The sequence below is a fragment of the Homo sapiens genome, chromosome 8, assembly GCF_000001405.40.
Source record: "Homo sapiens chromosome 8, GRCh38.p14 Primary Assembly".
Taxonomy (NCBI): domain Eukaryota; kingdom Metazoa; phylum Chordata; class Mammalia; order Primates; family Hominidae; genus Homo; species Homo sapiens.
This window is the reverse complement of record NC_000008.11, coordinates 103,217,547-103,236,127: the sequence shown is the minus strand read 5'-3', so window position 1 is coordinate 103,236,127 and position 18,581 is coordinate 103,217,547. Positions and strand designations below refer to the sequence as shown.

At 41.9% G+C, this 18,581-nt stretch overlaps 1 protein-coding gene across 3 annotated transcripts in view; it reads right to left on the bottom strand.

Moving 5' to 3' along the window:
- Window positions 1–5,822: 5,822 nt before the first annotated feature.
- BAALC (BAALC binder of MAP3K1 and KLF4) overlaps window positions 5,823–18,581 on the bottom strand; it is an 89,581-nt gene continuing 76,822 nt past the window's right edge. For all 3 annotated transcript variants that reach the window (NM_001364874.1, NM_024812.3, NM_001024372.2), the window contains one exon: window positions 5,823–8,139. In NM_001364874.1, the coding sequence (NP_001351803.1) occupies window positions 8,029–8,139 (111 nt within the window). In that variant the 3' untranslated portion in view covers window positions 5,823–8,028. The remainder of the gene's footprint in view (window positions 8,140–18,581) is intronic.

The following is an 18,581-nucleotide window of genomic DNA, read 5'->3' as shown; positions in this document are numbered from 1 at the left end:
TGCCATCTTAACAATTTTTAGTTGAGTCAGCTATTGCAAATATCTTTCTTCATCAGGGAGAGTGACAGGCTCACTGTGTGGTGCTCTTAAGTGTGTATGCATTTTCCTTCTCATCCCAGCTCCTACTACTCACAATGCCCTACAGCATCCCTTTATATCACCTGCCTGTCCCCTGAAAGCATGTAGTTTGTGACTTCTGTTAAGATATCTCTTGGGGCTCCTTTCCAAGTAACTTCTTATATCTGGGATAAATCAGAGATTCCCTCTGTAGCAAAACAGAACACTTATTTACTTATTTATTGGTCTTAACATCTTTTATTGTGGTACAATATACATAAACAGAACATTTATAGACCAGTGGCAGTGGGATGTATATCTCATGCTAGGGAGGAAGTGGAGGACTATCTACTGGTGGAAACCAAGTTGTGGAAAAGATGATGTTTGACTATGATAATAAAAAAGAAAGACAAGAGAGATGATGCTGTTTATATAGAAGCCTGCAACTACAACAATGACTCTACCCTGGAGATTGATCAAGGAAGCATCCAGTAAAGGAATGCATTATTAAACCAGCTACCTGCTGGGTAACTGGAACTTAATACACCTGGGAAAACTCTAGGAGCTTGCGTAAAATACGTATCTCAGCATTACCCCACCCAAGGTTGAAGGAGCTCTCATCAGTCATTGACTGATTGACAGGTGCTGGGATGAGGATAGGAATGAATAAGCATCAATAGCGCCAATGCCCTGGCAACTCCTGCCATGGGAGTGGTGAGATAAAGACTTCAGGCCACAGACAGCGGGTGCCTCAGTTAGAAGTCAGCATGGGTGCAGTAAAGGGGTTGAAGGGAAGGTAGAGCCAGTGGTGTCTGCTGTAGTCCTGTGCTCTTTTGTCCTCTGCCATTCTGATTCCTTTGAATCAAGTTCTACAAGTCTGAGTCCTGTCCCACAAATATCTGCCTCATAAAAACGTGCAGATATTTTTCTAGGGTATTGTATTAGATTGCTAGGATTGCCATAACAAAATATTGCAGGCCGGTGGGCTTGAAAAACAAAAATTTATTTTCTCATAGTCCTAGAGGCTAGAAGTCTGAGGCAAGGTTGGTTTCTTCTGAGGCCTCTCTCCTCGGTTTGTAGGTGATCATTTTCTCTTTTGTCTTCATATGGTCTTCCCTCTGTGTGTGCCTGTCCTAATCTTCTAATCTTATAAGAACACTGGTCATATTGAATTATGACCCATCCAAATGACCTTATTTTACCTTACTTACCTCTTGAAAGACACTATTTACAAATACAGTCAGTCACATTCTCAGGTATTGGGGGTTAGGACTTCAACATATGAATTTGAATTTGGCGGGGACACAGTTCAGTCCTTGACAGGTATATATTTAAAAATGGAATTGTTTGGCCAAAGAATATACACATTTTAAATTTGAATAAGTTGGCTAAGTTGACATTGAAGAGTGGCAGAATATGCTTTTCCAGAATATGCCATTTTGGCATAAGGGTTATTTTGAGCTAAAAGCACTTTTAAAAAGTGGGTGCGAACAGAACTTTTTTTTTTTTTGAGACAAAGTCTCACTCTGTCACCCAGGCTGGAGGGCAGTGGCACGACCTTGGCTCACTGCAGCCTTGATCTCCTGGGCTCAAGTGATACACCTGCCTCAGCCTCTCAAGTAGCTGGGACTACAGGTGCATACCACCATGCCTGGCTAATTTTCTTTCTTTCTTTCTTTCTTTTTTTTTTTTTTGTAGAGATGGTGTCTTGCTATGTTGCCCAAGCTGGTCTTAAATTCCTGGCATCAAGTGATCCTCCTGCCTCAGCCTCCCAAAGTACTGGGATTACAGGTATGAGCCAACGTGCTCAGTTCTTCAAGCAGAACTTTCTGACTTCCCTTTTTTTCCTGAAAGCATATAAAACTCCCATGTAAAAGATGCCCTCTCTGTACCAGGAGGAAAGAAATATCTTTATCACCAGAGACAGAGACAATTCTCTGTAAACAACCGAATTTTGTTAAAACAACTCTTATCTTTCTTTAGCTTTCCTGTATATTTTAATTACTTTTTCACAATTGCCTCACTTTGTCCAACATAGTAGGAAAGCATTGAGATTTTGCAACTTCTTTGGGCCGTCGTTTCTTTATAAAGTCTCTCAACTCACATAAAACTTAAAATTAAGTAAATCTGTATGTTCCTCTCCTGCTAGTCTGTTTTGTGTCAATCTAATTCTCAGGCCCTGCTGGGGTTCCTATGAAGGTAGAGGTAAAGCTTTGTCTGCCCTACACCATCCAACATAGTATCACTAATTCTATTTCAACCAGCAGTGTCTGACATTACTTCTTTCCCACACCCTTCCCAACACTGATATTATCACATTTTAAAAACTTTGCTAATCAGATAGGTTAAAAAGTGGCATCTCTTTTTTTAACCCAAATTTGCCTAATTACTGATGACACTGAGGATTTTTTGTATTTTTCTTGGCCATTCAACTTTCCTCCTGCCTGTTCATGTTATTTTCTCTTGGTCATTTGTCTTTTGCTTATGAAATTCTCATTTTTCTTAATGTATATCACTATACTAACTCTTTGATACATGGGCTGTAGATATCTTCTAATAGACTATTATTCATCTTTATGTGAATGTTTATCATACAGAGGTTTTAAATTTCAATGTGGTTACCTGCGCCCTGGATCTGTTCTCTTCTCACTTCCTCAAGGACTTTTTTACTCCGTGGATAATGCCCCTACCCTTCCAGCTTCAACCTCACCCTAAGGAATCCTTGCAATTGTTGAGAAACATACTCTAGTATGTCCCACGTTTTACAACTTCTTCTTGACCCGTCTCTTTCTCCAATTGCTGGCCTCTTTTTGCTTTGTTTCATAGCAACATTTCTCAAAAGACAGTTTTTTTCATTCCCTCCACTTCCTCACCACCCCTCCCGTCATCATCCTCTGTAGTCTGGCTCTATGACCACCTCTCTGCTGGAATTGTTCTTGTTAAGATCACCAGTCACCTTCATGGTGCTAGTTGGAGTCACATCTCTGTTCTCACGTGATTTAACCTTTTGGCAGCATTCACCGTGACTGACCATTTCTCCCTTCATGAAACATTTTTTTTTAGTGTTGGCTTCAGTAAGTGAGCTCCCTGTTTTCTTCCTAACTGCCTCAGCACTTCTCAGTACCCTCTGCTGACTCTTCCTCCACCACCAACTCCCTGAATGTTGGGGTGTCTCCCGGCACAGCCCTAGACTTTCCTCAGTAGCTTCTCATCAGGTGAACTAACTCCTGTGCCATTAAATATCTTCCATGTGTTGATGACCCCCAAATGCACAGCTCTACCCTTGACCAATTCCTTGAACTTTAGACTCGTACATCCAATTCCCTACTGGACACCTCCCCTTGGTTATTTCATACTTAATGGGTCCAAAATGGTTCTTTTTGATTTTCACTGCCTCCCCAAAAAAAACTTTTCCCACCCTGTTTTCCCCTATCTTGCCAAAAACCCTGTTGCTCAAACCAAAAAACTTAGGAATCACCCTGATTTCTCCCTTGACTTCACTTTCTACACCCAGTCCATCAGCAAGTCCCAATGTTTCCATTTCCAAAATGTTCTCAGCATCCACCTATTTTCATCCGTCTTTGCAACCATTACCCTATTCCTTGCACTGACATCTCTTCCCAGGACTATAGCTGTAGCCTCCTAAATGGTCTCCTGCTCCCTTCCTGCTTCCGTCCAGCTCATTCTCCTATTAACATTCTTTTCAGCATTTATCCCCATCTTAAGTTACTGTAATGACTTATTTCTTTATGTCGTTATTTTCTGTTTCCTCTACTATTTTGCCATCTCCGTGAGGGTAGGGACCAGATATGTTGTATCTCTCACCACATCCCAACTTCTGGCACATTGAAGAGTCTCAGTAAATACATTTGGATTAAATAAATGAGCAAGTGAATGCATGATTTTAAATATTAGGTAATATTCATAATTTGCTCAGAAAATTCTCCTGAGATTGGCCACTTCCCAGACTGGTGAAACAGGAGAAAAGGACCTTGTATATCTCAATGACTCCTGAAAAGAGTGTAAAAACAACATGTTTGGGAACATACAGTGGAGCAGGAGTTACAAGCTCAAATGTCTCTGGGTTCTGGCAGGTAACAGAAATGGGGAGGTTACCATGTGTAAGCCACAATGAGTGGTAGCGACCATCACAATCTGGAGACCCTCCCAGCTCCAGCTAATGCAGACTCATCAGCTCCAGCCAGATGTGGCCAAGCAGCCAAGGCCCCAAGGGTGAGCGATCTTCCAATTTTTTGAAAGATGGAAGTATATGCATACAAATTAGAATTAGTTTTGTTCAATTTCTCAGACTTGAAAAGAAAAAGAATCAGTTTTGGCTGTGAGTAATCATTTGAAACAGCAACTTAAATGAAGTAAAGTATATTTCTTTCCCACAAAAAGAGGTTTGTGGTATATAGTCCAAGACTCATGAAACTCTATGGAATTAGGGACCCATGCTTCTTCTAACTTGTTGCTCATCTTGGCATGGCTTTCATTCTCGAAGTTGCTTTATGGCCCAATGGACTGAGGTAACTCCAGCCATTACCTCCTCATTCTGCACACCAGGAAGCAAAAGGGGAAAGAAAGAGCCTGACTTCCTGGAAGCTTCTATGCCTCACTTTTATTTCATTTCATTATCTAGAACTTAATCATGCTGCAACTTCTAGCTGCAAGGGAGGCTGGAAAGTGTAATGTTTGTTCTAAGTGGACATGTGCTCAACTAAGAAAGAAGAGAAGGATGGATACTGGAGTTCTAAAGTAGGAGTCTATGCCAGAGCTGGCTATTTATGTGAAATTCCTAAGTAAGTTTTGACACCATGACGGCTAAACACAGCAGCTCTGTCACCTGATTTCAGCAGAGGAGCTTCCAGTGTTGTGAACCGTGCTTAGAGCAGTAAATGTGAATGGGATGCACTTCAGTGTCACATGGGGCAGCCCGCAAGTCTGGCTGGTGAGGATCAAAAACAGATGCAGGTTAGCAGGACTCAGACAGGCAGTGCAAACGGGGGTGTGTTCAGGTACCCTGGGAGGTGGGGGTGGGTTGTGGAAAGCACTGTGAAAGTGGGCCATGAATAAAGGGTGAGGGGCTACTGTCTCTTACCTGTACATCCAAGCTGTGCTCAGGACATTGGCAGCAACGTGGGAGGTCCCTGGCTTCCCTTACCTTTAGGTCTAAGCAGATATCCCAAGGGGTGCAATTTCTATTTTCTCTGAATTATAAAGTCCCTCTCAGTGTTCTGACCTCTCACACCAGGTCAAGGTCACTCTCTCTGGAGGGATAAGTGAGCCTGAACCAGAACCAAATTCCCTGAGAACTCACTGGCCCTTTCCAATCACTGTCTTCACTACCAGCCCTCTTCAATCCTCTCTCTCTAGCCCCCTCCAATCACCCAAATTATCCTTTTAGACTTGGACTCAGCCCAGCCTGAGGCTCCATGACAATTCCCCTCTAAATGGCCTCATCTCTCAGTTACACCAGACCTTCTTGCCATGGTGGCACCATGTGGTGGCAGGAAAAGAACTAAATTTGCAGACAGGCTTCCCCCACTTGAATTTCTGCACCAAAAGTTACTAGTTGACTGGACTATAAATATTTCCATAAGTGTAAATTGGTGCTAATAGCATTCTTCTTACCTACTTCACAAGGCTTTTTGGAGGATTCACAGGGTTCACTTATGTAAAAGGTCTTCATTTTTAAAAACTAGTCTAAATAGTTCTGCATACAAATTTAAGGTTTCAGTAAAGATTCTCTGTAACTGCCCATATATGTTTAAAATTAATGACTTTATTGACACAAACTTTGCAATGAAAAGTGGTATCCTAATAGGATAGTAAGGATTAGTTTCTGTCTCATACATACATGAAAAAGTAGCCAGATGCATTTTTAGTCACATGGTTTAACTTCTGGTTGCTGTCTCCGTGAAATCCAGATTGTTCTGGGGAGGGCCAGATCATGTGCCCTGCATTTCCTTCTCCCCTGTAAGTGAGAAAGTGTTTCTATATAAAACAGAGACACTTTCTTAAGGTGATAAATTCCAAACAACATGCAGCAGTGAACTGATGCAGAAACAAAGCTGTAAAGAGAAGCCACAAAGCACATCCCCAGGGAGAAAGAGCCCTTGAACTTGCAGGATCACTGCCAACCTTTGGCAGCTGGGGGCTCCTGCTGAGTAATGCCAGTGGGGACATATGAATCACAGGTTTTTCTTTTATCTTATTATTGTTAAAAACATTTTTTAGAACATAAAGTTCCTAAAAGCCCTTTCTCAAAGAATCACAAAATGATGAAGGTTTAGAAAAACTATAGTTGCGTGTATGGTAAAGTCTTGTACATTGATTAGAACACCTAGTTTAAGACACAAACCTACCCTGAATATAAAAGTTTCCATTGCAGAGTGATTTGCAACACACACTATACCTTAAGGGTCTAATTCAGTCTCCTAGTTATGAAGTCACTGTTAGATTCAGGATAGATAGTCACGACTAACCAGACCCCAAATCCCTCAACATCTGCATAGTACCTGGCACAGGATGGACATTTAATGTTTTGTGAATAAATATACAATCTGCCAATGGAAGGAAGGAAGGAAAAATGACACTACCCACTTGTGTTTGAAGAATAACAGAGTTAGCAGATAAGGAGGTTGCGTATCTGACTTTTGACCTGCATGTCAGTTCTCTGGACTATGTTACATAAACATAACACCAATAGGCTGCCTATTTCTGCTAAACATGGAATTTATTGATATAGTTTGGCACAACTTTAGTCCTATCTTTCCCAATCCCAGGCATGTTAACAATCCTTGAAAAATCATGCTACATTACTTTGGAGGAAAATACTTCCAGATGAACATGTTTCAAGACATACTAGAAAATTATTCCTATCAAAACATCCTTTTTCTGTGTCAGCTACCTCATTTCTAATGCAGTGCACATCAATCTAATGTCAGTATGAATACACATCAACCAGGTGCTGGCTTTCTAAAGTGATTCCTTTGCAGATGCCAAAATGACAGTCCTGGGGCAGTGTACAGAGAGGCCAAGGGGAAGCCATGCCTGCTGCCACATGTCTCTGGATCATCTCCCTCTCCTACGCAGTGTTCAATCTTTGATTAACAATTGCAAGTGACCCCGATAGAGAGGGAAGACAGTCAAGAAGACAAGCAAAGGGAACTGGAAAGCTATGCAAAATTGCAATGTCTAGCTGAGCCCTGAGGGGTATCCTTATTTGGATGCATTGGCCACAAGCATGGTGACATTAAGGACTGGAGGCCAACATGGACACTGGAATAGGAGGACTTTCCAGGCAGATGAGGAGCAGGTATGACTGCTTCACAGACACCTCCCAAAGACATGCCATGGGCAGTGGGTTGGTGCATGGGAAACTGGATCCGATCTGTCTCATACCAAGCTAAGGAAACAAGGATAACAAGGAGTTTTCCTGTACCTTGATTTTTTCAATATGTGGGTTTAGAGTTGGATGAAAGCCAGCTTTTAAGTGAACCTGGTAAGATTTGTAATGACAATATTTAAAATGAAAGAAGGAAAGAATAAGCTTGCCTGAAACAGAATACACTATCATGGGCAGGAGAGTTATAGCACTAAGGTGTGACTCTTTCACCCAGAAAATGCATTCCTACTTTTCTGTTTCATAAACTGACCTGTAGCTTTAACTCACTACTTTTACACCAGACCGTATTACAGGAGTTGCAAAGAGACAAACTGAACTGCACATTTGCAGTTTATTAACATATGTAAGCACTGTGCCAATACATTTACATGATAAGTAGAAGGCTCAGAAGGTCCCAACAAATCAGGCAGCAGTTTGCTGCCAGGTAAGACAGTCTTGCCAGGGACTCAGTAGAATTCAGGTCCAGCAAGGGGCAGCCACTTCTTCAAGGTTCTTTGATGGGATCCAGTGCCGTGAAGGACACTGAAGAAGTCCATCTGCCCTTCTGCTTGGACTCTCTGCTAGTTGACACAGTTCTTTGTGATTCTTCGACTTCTGTCCATCTGTTGGATGCTATCTGTTACATTAATGGTGACTTCTTTTGCAGGCATTCTCTTAGCATCTCTTTTAGCCTGTTAAGTTGAAAACAGTGAATTGAGTTACTAGGAAATGTAAACCAAAGAAAATGACCGAGGCAAGTCTCAATCAATTTAGAGGTTTATTGTGCCATAGTTGAGAATGTGCCTGGGAAAAAGGAACATAAATCACAGGAACATTTGTGATCTGTGCAAAAATTCCCAAAGAGGGTTTGAGGACTTCACTATTTAAGGGGGAAAGAGTGGGCAGTAAGGGAAAGAGGAAAGGAAAAGGGAGGGTAGAGAATAGGGGCAAACAGTTACATTCTTTTGAGGCTTTGATGAGCATTCACTGAATCCACATTTTATGTGTGAAAGGAGGGGATAGAGGAACAGTCAAATATGCATTTGTCTCATGCTCAATGAACTTGCATTTTTTACATAAGATAAAAGAAACATAGAATAGTTAATGAGTAAAATATGCATTTGTCTCAAGTGAGCAGAGGGATGACTCCTAGTCCTGTCTTTGTCCCATACCTGTGAAGATAAGCTGTTAATTTACATGGGGTGAAATCCAACAGAACTCTGTTTTAGGGTAAAGATCTTAGGGCCCACAAGGAATTTCTTTGTAAGAAATTGTGAGGGAGTCCCCCTGGAAGGTATGTGGCCTTCTATCTTTGCAGTTATCTGTTTAGGAACAAAATGGAAGGCAGTTTTGGGTGGCTTAGCTCCTAAGCTTAACTTTCCCTTTCCATAGTGAGTTTGGGGTCCTGAGATTTTTATTTTCCTTTCACAGAAATATACGAAGGTCCTCACAATTTGCATTAATCTCTTGAGATTATCACAAATACACACACACACATACACGCACACACACAGTCAGGAAGAATGACCCACAAGAACGCATGCACATATGCTTCCTATCAGAGGTTTCTTTGTTGAATCTTTAATACCAACACAGCACAGAGCCTGGAATAGGGCATGTTTATTAAAACACTGTTGAGTGAATGAGCTATGGTCCATCAAAGGGTAATGTGAAAGTTTTCATAGTTGGCTTTAGTAGAGTGGTTAAGTGTTTGAGCTTTGGAGTCAGAGAGACTTTGGTTCAAATACTGGCTATATGATTTCACTATGGGCAAGTTTTTCCAACTCTCTAACCCTTATCTGTAAAATGGGGAATAATAATATTATCTCTCTCATAAGGTTTTTATATGGATTAAATAAGGTAATGCATGTAAGGTACTTAGTACAATGACTGTCACTAAATGAAAATGGGAAAAAAATAAGCTTAAAAAGTAGGATAGACTATCTACTTCTAACTAAGGATAAACCAATGACAAAAGTTCTGAATTAATATTAAACATTAAAGCATTAATTAAATTGTAGGTTCTTTAAGTATATGTGTCCAGTCCCTGACTCTCCATCCCCTAAAAGAGAAAACAGCATTGGTGAGGGGCAGTGTTGTGCCTATTCTTGTGATTGTGTGCTGGGGGTGAACACGAGTGGGCTTGTGAGTCACCTCCACTAGTGGATGGACACAGTTATTTGCTGCCCAGCCCCATTCCAGAAATGACCTGCTGCCTCGCTGCAGGGAGAACAGTCAGCAAGTAGCCTCCAGCTGGGGACAGCATCAGCTGCAGAGAGCCACCTCACTCAAGTTTGTGCCCTTCCCAAGATGGGCCAATGTGCAGGTAAATGGAAGGGCATAAAGGTCTGACCATTTGGGCCCTAAACAGGTCAGCTCCCACAAGCCATTTAGCTGCATGGAGCAGGGGTCGCTGAAGCTGTTGTCAGCTTGCATTGTGGCTGGACTTCTCCCTTAACCCACTCCTGCTTCCATCATCCCTTTCCACAGGCGTTGGCCTCAAGGGCACTTCCTAACATCCTGTATAATGACATCTTGGTCTGCCTCCTGGGAACATAGTCTGCCTCAGATCCTGTGGGAACACCCCTCCAGGCATGAGCACCTCCTTGTGCTGGGTGTTGAGAGATGCACATTTTTCAAACAACATGGCCCCTGAACACAAACTACTTCCTCTGTAGTGCATCCAAATAAATGGTGAACTATTGCACTGATGGAGAAAAATCCATTGTTCTGTTGTATTTATTAGCAAACGATATGTATGTTTCTAATATGTCACATAAATCCTGTGTCCTTGTGTAGCTGATGGCGACACCCCTCTCTAGATCCCCTTTACTCTGCCAGAGCATCCCTCCCAGCTGCTGTGACTGTTGGCTGCTAACTGCTCACAGCACACCCTTCTTTTGAGAATTGCCCTCATCTGATTGGAGCCACCTCCTCCAGGAATGCCAAAGAGGCCCATATCCTGGATAGGCCCATATCCCATGCCTGATTGTTAGGATAAAAAAGGCTGCCCCTTAGCCTCTTGGGGGTACAAATCCATGGTGCTTTGCTTGCCCCAGGTCTCCTTGTGGGATCTGGCTGAGGCTAGACTACAGCTGTTCCGCTGACTGAACTCACACATTTGCTGAATCTGATCCCCTGCCCTGCCCTGCTTCCTCCATTACCATGCAGGTTTCACCTGAGTGTACTTTTTCAATTACTTGCATGAGAATTACTTGCATCCTTTCAATTACTTACATCCTTATCTCAGGTTCTGCGTTTAGGGAACCTAACCAAAGATCATACTTTATGGGTGATTTGAGGAACATTTAAGGATAATTTTGACTCTACATAATTTTAGTCTTATCTATTTATTTCATGAGATAGGATGTCATTGCTTTCCTCTGTGTGTTCCCAGTGCCTAGCACAGTTCTGAGACATCATAAGCTCTCAGTTTAACTTTGTTTGAATAAGTGAATGAATGAATGAATGAATGCACCACACTTGTCAGTGTACCCTTGCTTTAACAACCAGTAGGCAATACTATTTAGGGCTCAGTCTTACACTCAGGTTTTCTGAGCCTGAACTGGCACTAGGGCTAGCAAAGACTTTTATGGGCTTATTTTTCCCCAAAAGCAGAGAACTGATAAAATCACACGACCTTGAAACTAAGCATCTCTTGTTATTTGTCTTTAACTCCTCCTGTCCTTTAAAGCATTCTTTCTAAGAGTAGTGAGGACTAAGCTCTGATTTTTTTTAATCTTGCCCAACTCCTATCTAAGGGGTCTGGGGAGTCATGCCCTACAAACCATAAATTCTCATCAGATGGGTTTTATTTAACCCTGTATATCGTGACTTACTTTGCAATCTGACTCTGGCATAACAAGGAAGAAAATAAAAATATTTTACCCCAAAACATTTTTCTGCCATATTTTGAAATGGCCCTGCAAAGCCACCCCTTGTGGGAAAAATCCACATTCTATAGAGAATCCCCTTTCCCCTTCCTTTTTTTTCCTTCCTTCCTTTCCAGATCCAGGTGATAGTCAACTAAGAGCTAGGTGCCCTTTTAGGTCAGATAAGAAACATTTTACAACCTGCTCTCCCTGAAGTCGGCTGAGAGCTTCCTCTGCACAACAAAACTTGGTCTCCACAATCCTTTACCTTAACCTGAACATTTATTTTCTATTGATCCTAGGTCTTCAGATAAACGCAACCAATTGTCTACCAGAAAATATTTAAATTTACCTATAGCCTGGAAGCCCCTGCCCCCCCACCCGCCCACTCTGCTTTGAGTTGTCCTGCCTTTCTGAGCCAAACCAATGTATTTCTTAAATGTATTTGATTGATGTCTCATGCCTCCCTAAAATATATAAAACCAAGCGCTGTGCCCCGCTCACCTTGGGCACATGTTCTCGGGACCTCCTGAGGGTGTGTCACGGGCCATGGTCACTCATATTTGGCTCAGAATAAATCTCTTCAAATATTTTACAGAGTTTGACTCTTTTCATCAACAGTAGTTACTTCATTTTCTGAGTTCACATTGGACTGCCCCATGCCTGCTAAACACACACACACACACACACACAGACGCACGCAGAAGCACATGCACATATGCACACACGCACAAAGCGTTGTGAAGGAAAAGAAGGCAGTGATTCTGTTTCCTAAAGAAAACCGTGGTAATTATGAGACCAATTCCATCTGACTTCCATTCCGGGTGTCACTAAATAGCTTTGAGGACTGGGGCATGGAATAGAATGCAGAGGCCTTCTTTAAAGTGAGCTAAATTGACTGTAGCATTCCCCTCAAATTGGTGGGAGGTAAGAGGGCTTTCCAGAATGGAAATGGAAATGTTCCAAACTGCAGAAGTGCTTTTCTTTAGAAAAGACTGTTGGTAAGATTTCACAAAAGTTTATTAAAGATGATACACAGATGATACAAAGCTCTTTATTTCAGTCTGTACTTCTAAGCTTAAAAATCTAAGCAAAAAATCCAGTAGTTGGATTTCCAAGCCTATTTAAGAGGCTACAAAGTAGTCATTCCTATAACAGCCACAGATATATATATATAATTGTAATCCCAATTACAATAGGGTCATTTCTTAAATCTGTATATCATAAGCCTGCACAATAGAAATATTCAGAGCACAAACTTTGGGGCCAGATAGATCTGGACATGGAGCAAGCCTTTGCTACCAGTTAGCTGCAGCAAGACATGTTGCTTTGACATTTGACTCAGTTCTATTATCTGAAAAATGAAGGAAATAATGCCTGCTCTTTACTTTTCTTTGAGAGAATTAAGTATGTCACATAACATTGAGAGGGTTACCAACTTCTCCTAGTTTATCCTGGTTTATCCAGGGCCGATAAGTTTTGTTTGTTTGTTTTGTTTTGTTTTGAGACAGTCTCTCTCTGTCACAAGGCTGGAGTGCAGTGGCTCAATCTTTGCTCACTGCAACCTCTGCCTCCCAGGTTCAAGAGATTCTCCTGCCTCAGCCTCCCGAGTAGCTGGGACTACAGGCGTGCACCACACCTAGCTAATTTTTGTATTTTTAGTAGAGACGGGATTTCATCATGTTGGCCAGGCTGGTCTCGAACTCCTGACCTTGTGGTCCACCCGCATCAGCCTCCCAAAGTGCTGGAATTACAGGCGTGAGCCAGCCACCACGCCCGGCCCGCCAAAAAGTTTTAAAACTAAAAGTCCCACATCCCAGAAACCTACTCAGGCCCCAGCAAACCAGGACGGTTAGTCACCTCAATTATAGCTATTAACATTAATTTTATTTGTAAAAAGATGATGTCAGTCAAACAGCAAATTAAAATATAAAGCCTCATTATACTGAAACGATGACTACTGCTACTACTACTTCTAAATGGCAACAACAATAACTCTAAAAGTTGTGCTTCCAGATAAAGGACAAACTAAAGTTCTGTAACTCCCATGATATGGGCTCAAAAAGTTCCAAGCCGTAAACAAATCCACTTTCAAATAATGACACTGTATTTAAGTTAGCAAATTAAATAATTAGAACAACAATGCATTTTCTCAGAAATGTTTTATGAAAGAGAAGCTTTTGAATTTGAGACATTGCCGGAAAAGTACCCAACCAAAAGCAGTCGTGAGGATGTTTAAGAGGTTGGTAGTCGTTGCAATTGAGGACTAAACTCTGATTTTTTTATCTTGCCCAAATTCCTATCTAAGGGGCCTGGGGAGTCATAACCTACAAACCATAAATTCTCATCAGATAGGTTTTGTTTGACCCTGTATATTGTGTTTTACTTTCCAGTCTGACTCTGGCATAACAAGGAAGAAAATCAAAATGTTTTACCCCAAAATATATTTTCTTGACATATCTTGAAATTGCCCCACAGAGTCTCTTGTGGGAAAAATCCACATTCTATAGAGAATCCTTTTTCCTCTGTTTTCCTTCCTTCCTTCCCAGATCCAGGAGATAATCAACTAAGAGCCAGCCACCCCTATAAGTCTGTAAAAAATTTACAACCTGCTCTCTCTATAGTCTGCCATCTAAGAGCTTCCTCTACACAATAAAACTTGGTCTCCACAATCCTTTTTCTTAACCTGAACATTCCTTTCTGCAGATCCCAGGTCTTTAGACAAACTCAACCAGAAAATGTTTAAATTTACCTATAGCCTGGAAGCCCCCCACCCGCCACCTGCCCACTTTGCTTTGAGTTGTCCTGCCTTTTTAAACCAAACCAATGTGTTTCTTAAATGTATTTGACTGATGTCTCATGCCTCCCTAAAATATATAAAACCAAGCTGTGCCCCAACCACCTTGGGCACATACTCTCAGGATCTCCTGAGGGCTGTGTCATGGGCCATGGTCACTCATATTTGGTTCAGAATAAATCTCTTCAAATATTGTAGAGTTTGACTCTTTTCATCAACACAATCTAGTTACATCTCAAAAACCTTAGATTTCAAGCCCAAGCAAGAGAGAGAAAGAAGATGAGAAAAAGAATCACAATGCCAGATATTTTATCTAGAAGTTTGGAGAAGTGAGTTGTTTTGCCCTCCGCTGAGAAGAGCAATATAAACACAAGAAACAATCACACCATTTTGTCCCTCAGTGCCTGTGATGCTTTATACAACGTATTTTCCCCTCTGATGTAGTTTCCAGCCAGCCAAACCTTTTTTAACATCACCCCCCATACCTTTTTAATGACAGGAAAAGAAAATGTGTTTCTATTGCAATTACTGGCTTAAAAAAAAAAAAGTATGGCCCCCAATTCCATAATGAGAGGAGCCTAATTAGCACCTTTTTCTCATGCAGCTGTGCCAATCCTTCCTCTACTTCTAACATTCTTGTTTTGTGAGTTTTATCACCATTGACTCTTGTTAATGGGCCACCTCTGGCTTCTCACCTAGTTTTACAGCTTTTCAACTCTTTCCTTACCTCATTTTAATTTCTGCAGCTTTAGTACCCCATGAATCATAGATTTTAGTCTTCTTGATACTGCCTCTTTAATTAAAAGTAGCCTGCCATTTCTCAAGGGTAACCAGATTGACCGTGATAACCTCTTGGCAGTCTCTGACCCAGATGGACTTGTTTATCTTGGGGTTCAGATGTCAATAATCAGCCCATTTCCTGTGGAGGTTGGGACAGCTTGGCTGCTCCTGGAGACCTGGATTCAAGACTGCAGATACCTTTGTTCAGCCTTTTCTCACTTTCCCCCCAAATGGAAATAGAGATGTTCTCAGCTTTGCTTGAACTCCACAAATATATCTGTACCTAACATGGGATTATACAAACCTTTTCATAGTTCTTTGCAGACAACAAAGAAAAACATGGCTTCTGAGATTATGATGTGTGAGACACCAATTTTTCTGTATAAGTAGTATTTTTAATTATAAAAGGAAGACATAATTATGGCAAAAAGAAATTCAAAGAGTAGAGAAGGGCTTCTAGTGCCTTCCCCAGAGATAATTATGGCTAATATTTTCTTATGGAATGTTGCAGGGATTTTCTAGGCATATAGAAGCATAGGGCTCTGTTATTCTCTCTCCCTATGTTCTTTACTTCCTTCCTGGCCTTTAACCACAGTTTAAATTATGCATTTATTTTTTAACTTCTTTTTTGCTTCCTCCTCATATTGTAAACTTCAAGACAGTAGGAACCTAGTCTATTTCATTCATTTATAGTATTGCCCAGACTCTAATTTAGTGCCTGTCGCATAATAGACACTCAGTAAATAATTTGACCATGAACACATGTGTGAAGACAAATCTTCAGAAAGAAAAGAAAAGAAAAATCCCTGGGAACAGAAACTGTGTGCATTGCCCTGCCTCAGTGTCCCAGAACTTTCCTACAAGATTTCAGTTACATCCATGATTAATCATTCCTTGCCCCATCCCTGAGAGACAGGTGGGAATGTTATTGTATTCGCTTTCCCAATGAGGCAGCTGAAACCACTCAGGCAAATGCAATTAACTCAAGGCCAATGTCAATATGGGTGATGAGTCAAACTAAAGATGGTGGCCCCAGGTTTCATATCCCACCTCTCACAACTCTGCCAAAGCTCACTCTAAATTCTCCGCCATTAAGTTTCAGATAATGGGAAGGAAGAACTTGGGGCTTAGATGGAGACAGACCTGGGTTTGAATTTGAACACAGCCAAATCATGACTCCTTGGGCCATGTTGACCAGATATCTAGTTTCTGAGCCTCTGTTTTCCCAGGTAGGAAATGATGTTGCTTACCTTTTAGAGTTGTAAGGGTTAAAAATGATGTCATAGTGTGTCTGGCACGTTGTAGGCACGTCAAAATATTAGTTTTATCCTCTCTTCCTTCCCAAAAGATTAAAGACGAGAGCTTTGGCAGCTGCAACTCCAGATGTTTGACTTCTTTTCAGACAGGTCTCATGAAAGGAAGATACACAATAACACACCCTAATTGTTCTCAAATTCTGTGAATGTATTTGCTGCTGCTTTGTGAATTTGTACGGCATTAATGCAAGGTCAGTCAGGGGATATTTGATCTTAGCAACTCCACCAAGGGCCAGCTGCTAGCCTCAGAACGCAGGGGTCAGACTATGCTGCAGGTAAAACTCTTAAGATTCCTCCAAGCCTGGAGCACATTCTGTGCAGACCGCAGCCCCCTTCCCCATCTACACTTAGACTTACTCACCCTGGGAGTTTGTATCGAGTGCCAAAAGGAGTTGTTGCTTTTCAACTTGAACTTCAGATAGAAGATCAGACATTAGGAAGGCAGCAGAACCTGCTTTAGAAAAGCAACTGGGCAACCACAGAACAGTCATCACAGGATAGTGGTGCAGAGCTGGGATGGGTGGGGTTGAAGCTATGGGAACCTTTTCTAATCTGAGTGATGACTAGGCTGTCTCAGTTAATCAACACGTAGGTAGTGAGTACCTGTTAGGTTCATAACCCTAAAGTAGGCTCAGGAGTCAAGGGAAGAATATAAAGAAAAATAAGGCAGTGTCTGCCCTGAGAGCCTTCCAGTTGAACTGGTTTGACTGCAGACCCTTACATGAATACCGAGTCTTACAAATCTCTACAAGAGGTAGCAGCCAGTAGGTAGGTGCACATCTCTGTATTGCTAAATTCCTTCCTTTTTCCCCAGGCTTGCACTAGAAAGGACACCAAAGTGCCCTTCTAATAGCTTCCCCTCTCTGGTTTTCCCAGAGGTTTCTGTTGTTCGCTCCCTCCTTTTAATGTCCTGTTTTTGTTTTTCTGGGAGAGACTCATATTTACTTTCCAAACTCTCCCTTGATATGTCTCATATTAGTGTTATCCAGGAGAAATCCTGGGCTGGTCCTAACCTCCTGTCTTGATCAGGTCTCCTATCTCTGTGGACCTTCACCTGTCTTTCCCAGACTGGGCCAGGCCTTGCCAATGATGTTGACCAGACACTGGGGGAGGGGACAGGAGGAGGAGCGGGAGAAAACTCCTTAGCTGAGAATCAGTCCCCATGCTAGTTCCTTTAGCACGGTCCAGTCACTTTGTCAAGAATAATAAAGCAACTTGAAAATATGCAGCTTCTGAAGACAGGAGGGTTCCCTGGAAGGCCAGCCACATGTCAGAGCCTTTTCTACTTGAGCTATGGCCACATATACATTTTTACTGTAGCTGAATACTTGAGGAGGTATTTTAAGGGGTGGGGGGGAATAAGAGTCCTAAGCCTAAGGAAATGGCACATTCAGGTTAGAGAGTAAATGTTTGGAGGCAGCCCAAAGTTCCTGAACAACTAATTAGTGGGAGAAGACAAGCAACTACAGCGCTGCCTCTCGTGTTGTTTGTTGAGCTCAGGTAGGGAGTAGGATGAAGGAGACCAAGCCAATGATTTATCAGACACTCTGGAGTCAGTAAGGCCCCAAATGACTGGGGAAATCAAGGTGCAATAGAGAAAGAGAAAGAGCTCCCCACTGAGACAGTCAGTTCCAATTTATGAAAGATCATTTTTGCCACAATCTTCTTGCCAGTTAACACCTATTAACACCAGGCATAAGGCGGGGGGATTGGAGGGAATTGACAAAAAGGAAGATATGGTTTGTTTGATGGGACATGAAGTGGAGAAGGGCTCCAAACACAAGGTGCTGTTGCTCACAGCCATAAGCAACATTAGTTGCCCCATCACCCTTTGGAAAGCAGTTTAAACGTGAGGTGGCATCTGCATTAAATAGAGTAGCTGCTACCCCTGACTAGTGACCTTCTACTTCCTTCATAGCACCATTCAGAGTCTATAAATGCTTTATTTATTCTATATTATTTGGCTCCCAACCCACCTCCATTAAAACTAGCAGCTGCTTCAGAGCAAAAGCCATGTCTGTCTTTTCTACCCCTGGATCCTTGGCACTGGAACAGTGCCTGGCACCTAGACAGCACTCAATGAACATTTGATGAATGAATCTTAAGAGTAGTTATAGGAACTGATTAAAAAATTTTCCAGGCCTCGCAAGGATTGCCTTTCACATACAAATTTGTTTTGTAAATCTGAATGGCAGCACTGCAGTAGGCCTGTGGATGAGGACACATGCTTCATGAAAGGGATCTTCTAGAGAAGGAAAGCTTTAAAAAAAAATGCCGAAGAACCACCAACCAGGTGGCCTGATGGTGCCTAAGGGGAGCGTGGTGAAATGCTAGTAGCTCATATAGGGGTGCAATGGAAGACTGGAAGA